We start from the raw sequence: 17871 nt of genomic DNA, 5'->3' as shown, positions 1-17871 counted from the left end.
ACTAATATAGCTTGAGAGGCCTTACAACCCTTTCCAGCATCAAATGATTAATTGAAGGCCATTTGTTTTTCATAAACATTGACAACAATAGAGGCCTGAACATAATATTGAGGCAGTTTTTCTTTCTTTCTTCTTTCTTTTCTTTCTTTTCTTTCTTTCTTTCTTTCTTTCTTTCTTTCTTTCTTTCTTTCTTTCTTTCTTTCTTCCTTTCTTTCTTTTATAAGGTAAAGGATTTGGGATTATTTTTCTAAAACTATGTAATGGTGAAATGGCTAATATTGTTCATATTTAAACTAATGAGTTGTTGGGGTTTACTTCAACTGATCTGGGAGTCACAGTTCAGAGAGAAGTAAATTCCACATTATTTTATTACCAATGTAATTTTCTTAGAATTTAATTGGCTCTGCATGATTTTTTAAAATATGTCTATTTGGGGGGCTCTGCTGGTACTAGCAGCTGCTCCTTCCTTTACAACCAAGCAAAACTGGCTACACTGAGCCAGGTGGGTTGCAGCTGTTTCTCCCGCTGAGGTTTGGGAGGTGGGGGAGCCAAGCTTCCAAGCTGCCTGTTGGAAATGAGGTATTTCAGGCCGCCTTCTGGAGAAACTAACCTCGCATTAGGCTGCATTCACACCAGACAAGAAGTTACCAAATCCCAACACACTGGCAGACACACTTCCAGAGATGGGGAACCACAGTGGTTAAGACTTTTTTTGTTTTTTATTTTTTAAACTGCCTAAGGTGATGATGACTCATTGCAAGGTTAATGCATTTCACCCTTTACCAAAGCTGCAGCCAACATATTTTTCCACCTTTATGACTCATCCTTTTCCCAGGCCTGTTAAATTAATAGGAGCTTTAAGAAAATATACAGGGAAGGTGGAGGCAGTCCCCATAGTCTACCTGATGAGCAGAGATATGTCCCAGCAATTATCTAGAGCTTTCTGCCTTTTCCAGATTTAGGTTTAACATCGAGACTCTGAAGAGTTCCAGTGAAAAATGCACCTATAGCCTTTAGAAAGCTGTGATTCCAGTTTCAGTGTCACAGAATTTCTCTAGTTTCTATGAAATAGGTATCCACTTGATTGAAAAAGGGATCCATTATGAACCAACCAGGGAATATTTTTAATTGTGATGTATCAATAAGTAAATCTTTAGAGGGCCTTGAATGTCCATTATAACCTAGCTTATATAACTGTCTCCTACCAATTTCCTGCATTCATCCTGTGCTCCAACTAGACTGTTCTTATGTACCTGAAGCCTGGTTTTTGGGGAGTCCCACCTGTATGCCAGTGTCTCAGTTCTAACTCTTTGACTCGTGCAGGTCCAAGTCTTGGATTCCTGGTCTTGGGAGATATTAAACCTAAGACCTCACTGTGACCTCAGGGTAGACAAAGTACCAACTTCTACTTTTTAACTTTTGTTTTCCTCTTACTCTTCACTTTTGGTTTTTATTTAGGCTTATAAGCACATATACATTTTTAAAAGTATGAAAGTATGTTTGTCCTATTTTATTTAGCTTTCTGGATGTTTTACAGCATTAAGTTTTTCAGGATTTTCAAAGTGCTTTAGAACCCAGATGAGCATAAGTAGTCGGTTATCTTGCTTTGGAGACATCATGAGTGTGCACATTTTTCAGTATGCATATGTGCTTTTATATGTGAATTGTCAGTTGCTTTGCTAAAAATGCAAACTAACTTACTACTAGGTCCAGCGTAAGTCCCTGAATTGAAGTAACATAGTTCTTTATGGGGATAAACTATATTTTAATTTTAAGAAATAGATTTTAAAGTTTACATTGAATATTTCTGTGGGGTCCATGGCTTAGTTGAATTTCTTAAGTTGTGGTGTACTCTATGACATAGCAAATTTCTAGCACATGATATCATAATACTTTTTGGATTTTGTGGAATGTTTTGCATCTTTCTTTTAATGAATTTTGTAATAAAATGGTGTGCATTAAAATGCACAAACAACTTTGCAGTTTAAGAATTGTGTGACCTGAAGAAATGTCCTTTCAAAGATCTTGATGATACAGCATGCTGTGACCAGTCATATCTAAACCAGGGAACAGAGCAGTTATGTCCTGATAGTTTCTTTGTTCTCAAATTTTCCATTTTAGGAAGAACATAAAATTATCTGACTTTGGCAAGAACCAGGAAGAATCTATTTATTTCTCCAGATTCTCACCTACAAATGAAAACAATCTTCCATGTGATCTTTAAGTGAGGATTAAAAAGATCTTCAAGCCTGATTTTAAAGCTTCAGGTGTCTAACTTTGAAGAAATGTAAATTCCTTGATTTTTTTTAAAAACTTCCTCTTCAGGATATGGAGAAATAGGAACACTTTTACACTGTTGGTGGGACTGCAAACTATTTCAACCATTGTGGAAGTCAGTGTGGCGATTCCTCAGGGATCTAGAACTAGAAATACCATTTGACCCAGCCATCCCATTACTGGGTATATACCCAAAGGATTATAAATCATGCTGCTATAAAGACACATGCACACGTATGTTTATTGCAGCACTATTCACAACAGCAAAGACTTGGAACCAACACAAATATCCAACAACGATAGACTGGATTAAGAAAATGTGGCACATATACACCATGGAATACTATGCAGCCATAAAAAATGATGAGTTCATGTCCTTTGTAGGGACATGGATGAAACTGGAAACCATCATTCTCAGAAAACTATCGCAAGGACAAAAAACCAAACACTGCATGTTCTCATTCATAGGTGGGAATTGAACAATGAGAACATATGGACACAGGAAGGGGAACATCACACACTGGGGACTGTTGTGGGGTGGGGGGAGGGGGGAGGGATAGCATTAGGAGATATACCTAATGTTAAATGACAAATTAATGGGTGCAGCACACCAACATGGCACATGTATACACATGTAACAAACCTGCACATTGTGCACATGTACCCTAAAACTTAAAGTATAATAATAATAAAAAAATGATGAGTTCATGTCCTTTGTAGGGACATGGATGAAACTGGAAACCATCATTCTCAGCAAACTATCGCAAGGACAAAAAACCAAAGACCGCATGTTCTCATTCATAGGGAATTGAACAATGAGAACACATGGACACAGGAAGGGGAACATCACATACCGGGGCCTGTTGTGGGGTGGGGGTAGCGGGGAGGGATAGCATTAGGAGATATACCTAATGTTAAATGACCAGTTAATGGGTGCAGCACACCAACATGGCACATGTATACATAGTATACATATGTAACAAACCTGCACGTTGTGCACATGTACCCTAAAACTTAAAGTATTAAAAAAAAAAAGAACTTCCTCTTCAATCTGCTATGTAGTCATTTCCTAGTACCACAAACTGGGTGGCTTGAGCAGCAGATATTTATTCTCTCAGTTTTGGAGCCTAGAAATTTGAAATCTAGGAGCTGGCACCCCCCGTGGCTTGTGGACTTATCACTCCAAGCTGTGCATTCGTCTTCACATGGCATTCCTCTGTTAAGGAGGTCCCACCCTAATCCAGTACGACCTCATCTTAATTGATTACAACTGCAAAGATTCTGTTTCTAAATAAGGTAACATTCTAATGATCCAAGTAAATATGAATTTCAGGGGAAACTATTCAACCCACTCTAGTCCAGGAGTGTGGGCTTTGGGCTGGCCAGAAGGAGCACAGGCTCTGGGAAGAGCCAACCACCATCCCAGGCATCTTGTTAAGAGTCCAGATGTCACCTCCCAATGGAGGTGTGAGGTGTAAGGTATAGTTTCATAGGCCAAGGATCTCCTAAACGTGGAGCCTAAATATACAGGCCCTCAGAGAGAAACATGTTCATTGTGAAAAGCCATTGGCATTTCACAATAGTTAGGCTTTACTGTCTCCATCCATTTGGGCTATCCTGTAAGCATGGAGCATATATTTCCAAAAGGTGAAAAAGAACCGAACTGAACTATAAAAGAAATAGGATTGGGGCTACCAGGAGGCACTAATAAGCACAGCGATGTAATCGTTTCCAAAGCTCACTGTCACCTTCCCAAATCTTGAGAATCTCTGACATTTTACTGGGCAATGATGAATGCAAATGAAGCGAAACTGCCTCTAGCCACCACCCTCCACATCTTCCTCAGTTTTCCCAGATTATGACGCTAAGAGCCAGGGCTGTCTACAAATATTACATTTCCTTTAAAACACACATGATTATCAAAAATGAACAGATTAGAAAAGTAAAAATATTCAGATTCCTTTAAAGTCCAAGAGGACTTAAATAGCATTACATTTTTTTTAGCTGGATTGATAGGAGTAGTAACATGGTTTTTCACCAAGAAGCATTAAATGCCAGATCTTCATTCTCCCGCTCCCCATTTTGTCCAGAGAGCAAAAAGAGATACTTTAAAAAATCCTTCTAGCTGCACAATTTCCATGCTACAAACTAACATTAGCTTTAACCCCACAAACTTGCATTTTCCAATAATGCTTCATTGCAATAAGGTTGGAAACAGGATCAGCACAACTCAGGCTCAAAGGGAAATTGCAGTATCCAAAGGATCGCCTCTTGGAATTCATAACATGTCCTTATTTTGCTAATTTTTTAAAAGAAAGCAATGCCTGACTGCACTTCAGAGGGGATTTTAGAGGAATTGTTGGCTACATACAAAAACTGAAAAATATGACTTAATTTTAATTCCGTAATAGGTCCCTGTGGTTGCTGTCTATCTTAAAGGAAGGATTAGAGGAAGGAAAATGTTTCTTTCTACTAACCAAACATCGTAGTTAATACTATTCTGACATTAACTTTTTGTTTACCTAGTGTATTAGGTGTAATTGGTGTGTCAAGCTAGTTATTCCTATTAGGGGTCCCCAGTTAAACCACCTTTAAATCAGTTTCAACTTTAGTTGGCCCAATATCCTCACCCACAATGATTTTAATTCTGAAGAAATAATTACTTGGCTTTTCACTCAAGGTTTACCTTTACTTGTGGCTTTAGAAAAAGTGTTGTCAAAGCCACTGGTACAGATTTTATACCAGAAAGGGAAGAAAGGCTACAGAGAAAAGAGCATCTGTTGATTGGATGGTTCCTATTTAAGATTTAGGAATTTTTATACCAGCGATTTGAGGCTTTTTGTGCAATTGAGCTGACTTGCTGTTTCCTGCATAAGCTCTGCAAGTTTTCAAAGTCAAAGGTTAGGGTCAGAGTTAAGGATACAAACACATTACCTGAACTCATGATAAGAAAGAATAAAGCTAATTGTTCATTGCTTCTTATGTCTAAGGTTCAATTCTAAGAATTTTTTGGTGGACAATATAATTTGCTATTTTTCTCAAAATGAAAAGGTCTTATTTTGTTTAAGCTGTTAAAAATAATATCTGGACTGTTAAACATTCGAACAATTGCACCCACATAGAAAGTTAAAAATACCTCAAATTGCACTTTGGGAGGCCGAGGCGGGCGGATCACGAGGTCAGGAGATCGAGACCATCCCGGCTAAAACGGTGAAACCCAGTCTCTACTAAAAATACAAAAAATTAGCCGGGCGTAGTGGCGGGCGCCTGTAGTCCCAGCTACTTGGGAGGCTGAGGCAGGAGAATGGCGTGAACCCGGGAGGCGGAGCTTGCAGTGAGCCGAGATCCCGCCACTGCACTCCAGCCTGGGCGACAGAGCGAGACTCCGTCTCAAAAAAACAAAAAAACAAAACAAAACAAAACAAATACCTCAAATTGGGTCACTTAGAGATAACCAGGATTAACTTTTCAGGGTGTATCCTTTCAGGGCTTTTTTTTCCTGTGCAATACATACATTAATACAAAATATACTTGTAGATTATAGTTATAAAATTGGATCATATAATACATATTTTATGATTCAATCACTCGGTGGTAGCTTATGCATATCTTCTGATATCTGAATGTAGATCTTGATCAGAGTTTGCAATGACCCTATAGAACTCCCTATTTTATGGATGAACTTTAACCAGTTCCCTCTTGGTAGATGTGTTATTTTTCTCTGTTACAAGCATGGCTGTTAAACACATTTTGTGCGTATTGTTTTCTTATCTACAATTAGTCTACATTTTGTGCAACTGGAACCAATTATTTGTTGCCTTGTGTGTGTCTTTTCCTTATAGATAAACGCAAATCACTCAGGATTGACAACTTCTACAAAACTTGGCCTGATCTCATAGGGGTCAGCTGGAGAGGCGTGGATCTGGGCATCATCCTCACTGTTTCTTCTTATATCTTCTTGACTTAGTCTCCCTCCTCCTGACTGTAATATACAGGTGTACCAGTGGGCACACACTCATGCATGCATACATACATACACACAAACACACACATCATGCACAGGCATAAACATTTTAGGAAAATGAAGTTCTTCCCCACAACACTGACCAAATACCCTCAAAATGCAGATTTTAACATTTTATGGATACTTCTGCATTTGGGAAGTACGTTTCCGTATTTGGGAAGTGTACTTCTATGGAAAATATGCTTCAAATACCAATTCCAAATGTGAAAAATATTTTTGAGTGTTCTAAAAAACAAAACAATAGAAACCAAACTAAACAACGGAAACACCAGCATTATAAGTAAAACAGATATTAGCCAAACTTTGCAAAAAATTATCTAATCTGAAAAAGGATTATCTTCCAGTAACACTCAATATGTAGTGTCATTGTTAGGAGAAAATGTGATGCCGTGAAACATTACAACCTTAGTACCCAGGCTCATAAACTCTTTGCACTTCTCTCATTAATGTAATAATGCAGTGATAAGTTATTTGCAGAGCACTCATTTGCCTTTTGTTATTTATAATAATACTGCAAGGGAAACTGGAAGTTTATAATCCCCACTTCATAAATGAGGACCCTGAACCCAGAAAGGTGAAATGACTTGTCCAGGGACTTCCTCCAACATGAGGCTCGGGCTGTGGTCTCTGAGTCAGACTTAAACTCTCAACTGCTTTTCTAGTGTTTAATTTATCATTCCATAAAGTCTTTCCATTATGATAGTTCTCCCATTACCTCAGAGTTTGGGTCCATGAGCACCGCTTGGAATGAGATCATTTTCCTATAAAACTTCTGTTAATAAAACTGTTCCATGACTGATTTGTGAAGTATCCATCATGCATGAATTTGCCTACCAGGTCCTTGACATTTTTAAATGGTATTCTAGGGGCCTGTTTAGGGGAGAAAGAAAGTTGTCTCTGACGTGCGTTAATTCTGGCGCACATCATCACTGGGATCTTGTGTGCTGATGTGCACCCCTCTCCCTCCGTTTCTGGCTATTTCTAAAAACATCTCCTCATGGTTTAAAAAATTTATTTACGTATGTTATTATAAAATATAACAAATTCTGCTTCATTGATAATCCTAAATCTTATGTATTTTCAGCCATAATCACTGTTAACATTTAAACATATTTCTTCCCATTTTTTTCTTTTCTTTCTAATCTTTTTTCTATGTCTATATGTGCTTTTGTGTGGTTTTAAAACTGATGTCATATTGTTTTGAAATGAGGTTCGTATCCTGCATTTTTGATTTACAGTTTTATCATAGGCATTCCCCACATCATTAAATAAATTAGAGTATATCCTTATAATGGCCTATTATGCAAACACGTCTATAAAAAACTAATCCTTCTTCTATATTAGGCCATAAGGTTGTTTAAATAAGATTGCAATGATGAAGATAGGTACACCTAAATCTTTTCCTGAGAGTTTCTGGAAATTTATGTCTCCATTGATAATGTATATGATAGTGTATAAGAATGTTGTTTTCATTGTCTCTTCTAAAAACTTTATTACTTTTAAATATTCCATTAAACTTTTTTTGCCAACTTGATAAGCAAAAATGGTAGCGTATTCTATTCTATTTATTTCTTGGACACATCTATGTTTGCTCTTCAGAATTACTTTAGGAGGAATTTCCAGTTCTCTTACTTTGTGGTGTCTTGTGTCTCTCTGGCTCATTTTTCCAGTTTAGGATGAAGAGAAGGCTGTCTCTTCACCCAGGGCCTGTTGGCCAAGGTACCAACCTGCACTTGTCTGCTCCCTATCCACGCACAAGATAAGAATTCTCTCATCTACAATTCCCGGCCCAGCCCCGGTTCCGCTCAGTCAGGTTCTGCTGGACTTAGGAGGGGTCTTCTTTCCTTCTCTCTGCCTGTTCTCTGACAACTGCCAATGCCAGAGTACACAACAAAGCCCGCTTCCTCTGCGTGCCCTGCTGCTTGGCCTATTTTGACAGCATTTTACTGGGTAGGCCTACAGCTCCTAGGATGCACTGTATACAACCCCCTTGTGTTATATTCTTTTACTGATGAGAAAGAGATACCAACTGGATGTGGGGGATAGAAGTCATCCTCAAAAATGATACTCCTACAACAGAGGGAGAGTTTTCAAGTTGGTGGAGGTCCTCATCTTTCAGCCAAGAGGTGAATGGTAGGGGACACAGGGAGCCCTGTGGGACAGATGGGGTAGTTGGTTTCAGGTGGGCAAACACAGTCACACACTGGTCTGTAGTTCTTCAAGCAGTAGAAATCCTCCCTAATTCCAACCAACATTAGGTTGATTGCCTGTATTCGTTCCAATGTAAGAAGTTTTCCTCTTTCATTGGATATGTCTTTATAGGTATTTTGTTTGGAATATCAGAAGCCTCCATCAGTGAATTATAACCATGCTCTTAAAACATTTTTTTAAATTGAAAGCTTCCACTGGTTTATTTTATTTTAATGGCAATATTTGTTATACATAACTACTGTTTGTATAGACAGCATACCTTTATATGTTTCTCTTGCTTTAAAATTAGGGAGGCCTTTTGCCACCCAGAGAGCGTATCATCCATTCTTACACCATGTTATGGACTAGCATTTTGTTCAGCAGATGGCTTTTCCCATTTCCTCAGAAGAACCTGCTGGGCAAGGGAGAGAGCCGATGTTTTTTCCTCCCTTAGAACACCATCACATTTACTCTCCACCTCAATGAAGGCCAGCACAACCTCTGGACATTAGCCTGATGCTCTGTGAGGTTTATTAAACACATCAGATGATAAATAGTAGTGCAACCGCAAGCATCCTTCTTTTAAAAAATAGTCTCAGTTTGATAAGTAAAAATGGCACCTCTAATCTAACTTTTCAATCTTTGATTACTAATAAATAAACAGAACCACACGTTTGCCATTTACACTTTTTAAATAAATTTTCTTGGAATAGAGTTTCGATTTCTTTGTTTAGGAAGTGTGGTTCTGTTTTGTCTTTTCACTCATCCTGGAGAAGATTCTACCCTAAGTTGCTTGTGGTCTTCTTAGTCCTCAAATATTCTTTCTCAGCCTCCCTCTCGACAAACTGGATGACTTTTTCTAATCACCTTGCAACTCCTTCTCCCTCCCTGAAAACGTTCCTTCACTCAAACTACTTTAAAGAGCCCACAGTCTGACTTCTGCACCTGTCACTCTTCTGCCACCACCCTCTAGAAGGCTACTATGATGTCCCAAATCAATGCAGTGTCCCTGTTCCCATCCTCCTTTGGTTCCTCTACAGCATTTGGCACTTGTGGCCATCTAGACCCTGATGCCCCTTTGGCATCTGAGACCTGGATTCTGCTCCCAAGGTGGGGTCTGTGTGGTGGACAGAGTCAAAACCACAACATTGCCACTGACTTTCTATATGGTGCTGAGAGGTGGAGAGGGGTGCATCATTGTAAAGCCTCTCTGTTTGTAAAGCTAAACTTGTGATATCCACCTTATAGCTGTTTGTTGAAGATTGAGTGGAATAACGCAGGTGAGAGCATTTTTATATCATTCTTTAGTATGCATTCACTCAACAACTATGCATTGAGAGCCTACTAAATACCAGGAGTAAAGTGCTGAAAATCAAGGATCCACGGTGACCCTGTCCTCAGGAACTTATAGCTTCATGTGGGAACCTTTGTAAATCAAGTAATTGTACAAAAAGATACATGGTTGCAACTGCAATATGTCTGGAAAGAGAAAACATAAGATGCTGTGAGGGAATATAATGTAAAGATTTGACCCACCCAACCAGAAGAAGTATGAAGCGCTTCCCTAAAGAAAGGCCACTGAATTGAGAATTATATGTAGAGGGTAGCGAGGCCAACTGATGACAGCAAATGTTCTTAAGCAGGGCAAAGGCCCTGTGACAGAAGGGAACCTAGCAGGCCATGGGATGGAGAGAAGACCACAGTGGCTGAAGCACAAACGGAGGGGAGGGAGAAGGTAGTGCTTGAGAGGTAGATGGGGACAGAACAGACAGAACTTGTGGGGCCTTGCGGGCCGTGATAAACTTTGATGTGTATCGCAAGAGCAATGGAAAGCCTTTAGCGGATGATGCTGTGGTCAAATCTGCATCTCCTGATGCTCTTTCTGGCTACAGTGTGGAGGGAATTGGAAGAGGCCCCCGTGGCCACAGGAGACTGCTTCTCATTTCCCCTTGTGCTCTTCCTTCTGTTGACTCCTACGTATACCCCCTGCCCTTGTGGTTCTGGCCTCTCTACCTGAATTTTTAGCCACCTGCTGGATCTATCTATCTGGTGGCCAGAAATTTAAGCACATCTTCTTAGTTAGTCTCTGCAGATGGAGCCTATGAAAATATCTTCAGTTCCTCCCCTACCTTGGCCCAATCAGTTGTCATGTTACATAAATATCTGGCAGATAATGGTGAACATACAGCACCAGTGTACGGACTTCCCGCACAGTTTTGAGAATATCTTTCTGGTCCTTAGGCTTATTTGTTTCCCCTTTAGCATACCCAGCGCTATTGCTGCCAGATCAATATTCCAATGGGCACCTCCAATGACTGCTTTTCTCTGATTAGCCTCCCTACATTCTTTTTTTTCTTTTTTTTTGGAGACAGAGTCTCCCTCTGTTGCCCAGGCTGGAGTGCAATGGCACGATCTTGGCTCACTGCAACTTCTGTCTCCCAGGTTCGAGCGATTCTCCTGCCTCAGCCTCCCGAGTAGCTGGGATTACAGGCATGTGCCACCACGCCCAGCTAATATTTGTATTTTTAGTAGAGATGAGGTTTCACCATGTTAGCCAGGCTGGTCTCGAACTCCTGACCTCAGGTGATCCACCCGTCTTGGCCTCCCAAAGTGCTGGGATTACAGGTGTGAGCCACTGCGCCTGTCCCCTCCCCACATTCTTTACATCTGTTGTGCATTCTAGCCACAGTCCCCTGCTTCTTGCTTTTATTACAGATGTGCTGGGGTGCTCCAGCCCGATGCCATTCTGCCTTTATTTTCATCTGTTGGAATTATAGGCATCTTCTATGCCTCAGCTGAAATACCACTATTGACAAAAAACCTTGTGGACGCTTCCAATCTTACATGAAACTTCCGGTCTTCAAGCCACTTATAGGACTTTACTTCTCTCTTTAATGACACATATCACACTGGGATTTGTATTATCCACATGTTGTAGATATGTGTTACTCTCTCTTCTGAGCTAACTTTTTCCTGGAGATCTGGGATCACAGATGGCTCACCTGTGTATGAGTTATAACTTTCATATCTGTGTCTTGTGCAAGGAAGATGCTCAGTACTTATGTATCAAATCAGTGTCTGTTAGGATAATAAATAATTACGCATGTATGAATTAAACCTGTCTATTCTTTATTACCATGGTGTGTTTTCTGCATTCTTTTAGAAGTTTGGAGCAACGAATTATTTTGTTATTCTATTGTGACTATTCCCTCTGTCCCATATTCAAGCATACAAATATGAGAAAGGCATTTTTGAACTGCATGTTATGAAGAGAAAAAAGAAAAAGACAAACCAAACAATTCTTTGTACGTTTCATTTTGGTTAGAAGCCAATGTAAATGCTTGTGCTATAAGAACAAGCATATTTCCTGCCGTGAAGGCTTGGCTGTTTATCCTGGGACCCCTCTCTGACACTGGCTGCCCTCGAAAGACTGTTAACCCCTGCTTTGAGCCAGCAAACCAGATGTGGGTTTTTTAAGCAAATTATTGGTTATTTCACCACATGTAGTTTTTGCAGTTAAGTGTTTCCAGCTTTTCAGAGCATTCCACGGGAATAACATCATATTTTTCCTCCAACCTGTTAATTAACATAATTATTTATCAGCCCTAAAACCACAGCTTGAGTTTGTTAAGTGGCTAGCTGAACATATATTCACTGGATGGAGACCAATGCTGCTGGAGAGAACAATTCAGCAATAAAGAAAAAACTGGAGGTCCTTGGGGGAGGGGGAGTGGTGCAACATGCTCCATTCCCTTCTTGCTTCTTGGGACTCATCAGTGTGTGCTTATGCTACACCTTTAGGTGTTGGCTTCACTTCCCCAATAACTTGTCATCAAGTCAATCTACTTTTTCGACTGAAGAGTTTGTCATGTGACCTCTAAGTTCCCATCCAGTTGTTTTTCTTTTTTTAATTTTATTTTTCCATAAGTTATTGAGGGTACAGGTGGTATTTGGTTACATGAGTAAGTTCTTTAGCGGAGATTTGTGAGAACCTGTTGCACCCATCACCCAAGCAGTATACACTGCACCCTATGTGTAGTCTTTTATCCCTCGCCTCCCCTCACTCTTCCCCAGAAGTCCCCAAAGTCTGTTGTATCATTCTTATGCCTTTGCATCCTCATAGCTTAGCTCCGACATATCAGTGACAACATACGATGTTTGGTTTTCCATTCCTCAGTTACTTCACTTAGAATAATAGTCTCTAATCTTATCCAGGTCATGGTGAATGCCGTTAATACATTCCATTTTATCCCATCCAGTTCTAATATTTGAAATCTGACATTGTAGATTCAAGGGGTAAAACTGTGAAACTGCAACACCTCAAGACTATTTTTCCTTCACTCTCCAAATCTCATGGCACATTCTTGGGATTAGCAGAAAGTTCTTTCTTTCCCCCGCCCCCTGCACTCCTACCCCATGGTGCTGCTTTCCCACCAACTGGGAAAGGATAACAGCACTTTAACAGATTGAATACGGAAACAGAAATGGGAATCCAGCTATCTGCTAATAAGCCAGATATTAAATTAATGAGATTTGCAAAACAGTAAGACAATGCTACCCTTCTCATTAAATATTTTTGGTTTTGGAAAATATACTTACTATTCATATAAGTATGATATTTATGACAACATGTAATATATTTATTGTTATCTTAAGTAAGTTTAAAAAATTATCAGTTTTAATTTCAAATAGAAAACATCAATAAACGCTACCTATATAAAACAGAAGCTTTTTGGGAGCCTTAATAATTTTAAGAGTGTGAAGAAGCACTGGGACTAAAAAGTCTGAGAACCATGGCCTTTCATATATCAAGGATGTGAACAGATCTTATGCTACCAAGCTTTTGTCATTCTATTAGGCAAATGGTAAGTTCCTTAGAAAAGAATTCAAACACGCTGGGCACGTGTAAGTGTTTAAATACTTTGACAAAAGCCACCATGAGGGGCTCCATCCTTAAGGTGCCACAGTCGACTGAGATTACCTCTAACAGTCCTGAGCCAGCTTGCTCTAGAAACTATAATGCATGTGCTGTTAGGGAAGAAGCCGGAGAGCTGAGGATGAGAGAAGCTGGTAGCTATGGGGCCCAGAGAAGGGAAGGAGAGCCCTGGGATTAAATTAATAAGTTTTGGGGAAATACTTGTGGGTAGGGGTCCTGGGTATCTACAAATTTCCTCCCTTTAGCATTATTCCTTGAGAGCAGAAAACCCATTTGCAGAATTCAGCTACTGCCTGCACTGTGGTTTTTGTGAAGACAGTAATTAGTAGCTTGCAGTGGATTTCATGTGAAAGTTATAGTGGCTCCAGGCTAGACCAGAGATGGATACATGTCCAAATGTTTAAGTCAATGTTTAAATGGCCGAACCATAAAACGTTTGAATTTGATTCCAATTCCTGTAAAGCAGACCCCATCTTGCAACTTCTTGGGACTATATTCTGCTTCTCTCACAGTTCGTTGACAAAACCTCTTTCCTGCCAACAGAGGTTTATTAGCACATTAGTGCTCGCCCTCACATTCCATTTTGAGAAAAACCTCACATACCCACAGCCAAAAGTCATTTTCATTCTATTTGCAGAAGCCAAAGAATAGCATCTTCATATCACTTTGATCAGAGTTACAGTCTCCATAAGAGAAGAAAAAATTGCAGCAACTCTTCAATGACACAGTTTTTCTTGGACTACTAGAGGCGCATCAGTGATAAGGGTGGAGAGATGTACAGTCCTGTTTTGGGGTCCAAATAAGTCCCTTTAACATTAATACCCAAATTTCAATGATTTATTTTTCCTTCTCCCATTGAATTGCATTGTTAAAATTACCCTCAATGATTTCAGAAGTCCTCAAAATAGGGTGTCTCTGTTATGCTAACGAAGGGGCCCAATCACCTTGGAAATGAACTTATAAGAGCCTTAGTTAGCCATCTAACTAAGTATCCTCCCGTTCTAGCACTTTAAAAATTCTACTTAGCGTTATCTGGAATTGTCTTTTTAATTTATACCAGTGTGTGTTCTGACTCACTCCTTCCATTAGAATATAACTCCTGGAGGCAGAAATTCTGTCTTGCTCATACTATTTTCCTGGCACCTAGAACAGTGCCTGGCTTTCAGTATTTGTTGAGTAAAAGAATGAAGTTACAGTGCCCCTTCTGAAAATGCTTTTTCTCCAGGAACAGTCATGCTCCTCTGATGGAGTCCACACTGAACCTCAGTTTTAATCTCTACTAACATTTGTGGTTGTATCTTTGCAAGGACAGGCTCAGAGAGAAGCATAAGGTGGGGTTTCTGCCACGGAATTGCCTGTAGTCTACTTGAGTGCTGTATTGTCAGTTAGGGTCCTGCAGGAACAGAAGATAAACCCTCATTGGGTAATTTGAAGTGAGGCTGATAAAGGGACTATCTATAAAGATATGAGCAAGGTTGAGAGGATCTAATGAAGGATGCTACTATTCCCTTCAGCTAGTAATGACAGGGAGCTGTTGTCTCCCCATAACCCCAGGAATGTGGTTCTAAGGAGAGGGCCAGCCAAGTGGACCTGGAATACTCCAGAGGAAACACGGCCAGCTTTGCCATGTGCTTCCATGACAGAGCCAGAATTATGAAGGGAAGCCAGAGAAGCCGAAAACTAACAGGGGGAGAAGGGAGAGAAGAGGGAGAAAGAGTAGAGAATAAAGACTTCTTGGACCTGCATGGTGTGAAAAGAAATGCCTTATGGTCCAGCATCTTCTGGATTCAGCGTGTGTTTGTGATTGTCTGATAAGAACATTGCAACGCTCTCAACACCGTGACAACCGTCATTCCCCAGTCGATCCTGAAAAAGTATCTGTAGATCCTTAGGTCTCTGGAGTATTTAGAGTATAGCATCTCTTAATATTAATCATCTTTACAGGAGAACCTTCAGGAGTGAGGCTAACTCATCTGTGCCACTTAATGCCGGAGTAACAAAGCCCCCATCCACTGAGGACGGAGAGAGCAGATTGTAAGGAGAGAGCAGATTGTGTGGAGAGGCAGGGGTTTCTGTCACGTAGAAAGCATCTTGTACAATGTCTGACACACAGCAAGTGACCAAAATGTGGTGAGTAATAATGATATCAGGCTCCCGACAGGTAACTTGACTCTTTTAGGTTTCTGAAGCCGGTCTAGAAGCAAGCTGAGCTGGACCTATATCAGAAGACCCCAGCAGCCCTGCCCCGAGTTGTACTCAGCGGCAGAAAATCCAGCCAAATTCACACTCAGGCAGTCTGGCTGCAGCATCTGCTCTCTAAACCTTGTGGGTGCCCCACCCGTAGCCCCTCAGTACTTGCTGTTCTTGGACACACCAGAGGCTGCTTACTGCCAGCCTTATGCTCTCTCCTCAGGGCTTTCTCTGGTTGCAGGCACAAGTAGACCAAAAGTACCAGAGAGTTAAAATCCAGGAACATCTCTCATCTAGCAGCCTAGACTTGGTGACTGAGTACTCCGAAGAGTCTCTGCTCAGCTGGGATGGCTCTCAAACTGGTTCTTCACAGTCCTTCCCCGGCTCCTAGCAGGACTGAGTCCTGGCTGCCCACAGTGTGACCCTGCTGATTAATGTACCCTGCATTGACTTTCTTCCCATCCCTGGCCCAATATCTGCTTCTTTTCTGGTCCTTCCTGGGATCACATCCTAAATCAACTGCTTGCATTCACGTTCTTGTCCCAGAGCGGGTTTGAAAGGAGACCAAGCCTAAGGCACCGCATGCTCCAATCTCCTCACCTTCAATTTCCCCCATGCTTTAATGTTTCCTTTCTCCCAGCAAACTCTTCCACCAGCAAACACTCTCTCCTGTGGGTTATTTATAACTTAGAGTGGATTTAAGCCAATGTATTCCATGTATTTCCAGAGTTTCTTCCATTTAATGGGGAGGTCAACTCAACTCAGCGAGTTTTGCCTCCATCGTCCTCCATCAGCTCTGGGGATTATTCAACAGGGCTGGCTTTCTTCTCTTTCCCGCATCACTCTTCTACTTTCGATTCCAAAGTGTTAGAGCTTTCCCTCCGCTCTCTCCAATGACCTGCTATGTTTTTATCCTTTGGAAAACAACTTTTTTTTAAAAAAGAAAGAAAGAACACACATATCATTCTTGTTCCTCTGCTGTCTCCTCTTCAGTGCTAGATTTGTCCATTGACTTTCAAGGCTTTATATATCATGTTTGGATGGGTGACCTCTAAAGCTATATCTCCACCATTAATTTCTCATCCAAATCCTGGTCTCCCATGGTCTATGGAACATTTCAACATCCATATCTCTTTGTCCCAAATAAAGTCAGTAGATGCAAACGGAATTCTTCATCTTCACTTTAAAACTGTCTTCTTTTCCTAAGCTGCCTACTAATATCAAAGAGAACACCATTCCCACAATCTTTCAGTTTCACACTGTAGTATTCATGTACATTTCCTTCCTCTCTTTTGGCGTCTTAACCCTTTACCACTTCCTAACTCTCCTCTCTAACCACAGACTCTCCCTGTTTCACACTGCCCTATAGAAAGCTGAGTTAGTTTTTCCCAAATTCTGCATTCACCGTGTCATTATGCGGCACAAAAAAATACCGGTAGTAGCTCTCAATGGACTTCGGAATAAAACCCAGGTTTCTCAAAATGTTTGTGCACTTCTCTGTCCTTTTCTTATTTCTAAAAGTTATTTTAGATCTACACAAATCTTGACTAAAAACTATTATTTTATCTTTCTCTATTTCCCTGTTCTCTTCTCCAGCCAGGCTGGTCCACCCAGTGCTCTCCAAACACCGTGGTCGCTTGCATCTGTGGGATTTTGCTGGTGATCCTTCCCTATTTATCTGAGGTAATGTATCTTGACCCTAGCCATTATGTGCTAGGCATTATGCAAAACTCTGACATTGTATATTATCTCATTTGATCCCTATGACAAGTCTGTGTGCCAAGAGCTATTATTGCCTATATTTTATAGATAAAGAAATTGAAGAACCATGAAATTAAGGCACATTGCCACATCATACAGTGGGCAAATGCTGGAACAAGGTTAGAATTCCCTTCTGTCTGAATACTGTTTTAAAAAGTACTCCAAACTTGTAGATCCTGTCCATATTGTGTCCTTTCAATGTTAAATGAGAGCACTGTCAAACAGGCCTCCATAAGGAGTACCTGGTTCTCCAGAGAGATGTATTTTTGTTTGACTTTTATTATTATTGCTTAGAATCTAGACTCTGTGGACTTATTTTAACTCAGTAGAGATTGTCAAATTGCAAATGATCTTTTTACAGTAGAGAAGCAAATATTTTTGTCCAGTAGGAAGGGGAACCTCAAATGTTACAGTTTTTGTTGTCCCATAGAACATTAACCAGTTTTGTTTTTGACTTAGCAATCTTATTTCAGTCTTCTGACTCTAATGAACA

General features: G+C 40.3%; 1 long non-coding RNA gene across 4 annotated transcripts in view, besides 1 other annotated feature; it reads left to right on the top strand.

Moving 5' to 3' along the window:
• The window catches only part of LOC105376126 (uncharacterized), a 103060-nt gene extending 85517 nt beyond the window's left edge, over window positions 1–17543 (top strand). For all 4 annotated transcript variants that reach the window (XR_007061642.1, XR_001746813.2, XR_001746814.2 and 1 more), the window contains 3 exons: window positions 15372–15557; window positions 17214–17300; window positions 17427–17543. This is a non-coding gene — a long non-coding RNA (uncharacterized LOC105376126). The remainder of the gene's footprint in view (window positions 1–15371; window positions 15558–17213; window positions 17301–17426) is intronic.
• Window positions 13132–13633: an enhancer, noted in NCBI's record as "NANOG hESC enhancer chr9:89814775-89815276 (GRCh37/hg19 assembly coordinates)". NCBI's record gives its function as "activates a minimal SCP1, AML or CMV promoter by ChIP-STARR-seq in naive H9 embryonic stem cells {active_cell/tissue: H9 hESC(naive)}" and the evidence as "EXISTENCE:reporter gene assay evidence [ECO:0000049][PMID:30033119]".
• Window positions 17544–17871: the final 328 nt, after the last annotated feature.

The sequence above is a fragment of the Homo sapiens genome, chromosome 9, assembly GCF_000001405.40.
Source record: "Homo sapiens chromosome 9, GRCh38.p14 Primary Assembly".
NCBI classification, from domain to species: domain Eukaryota; kingdom Metazoa; phylum Chordata; class Mammalia; order Primates; family Hominidae; genus Homo; species Homo sapiens.
The sequence above is the reverse complement of the archived record's forward strand: the minus strand, read 5'-3'. Positions and strand labels throughout refer to the sequence as shown.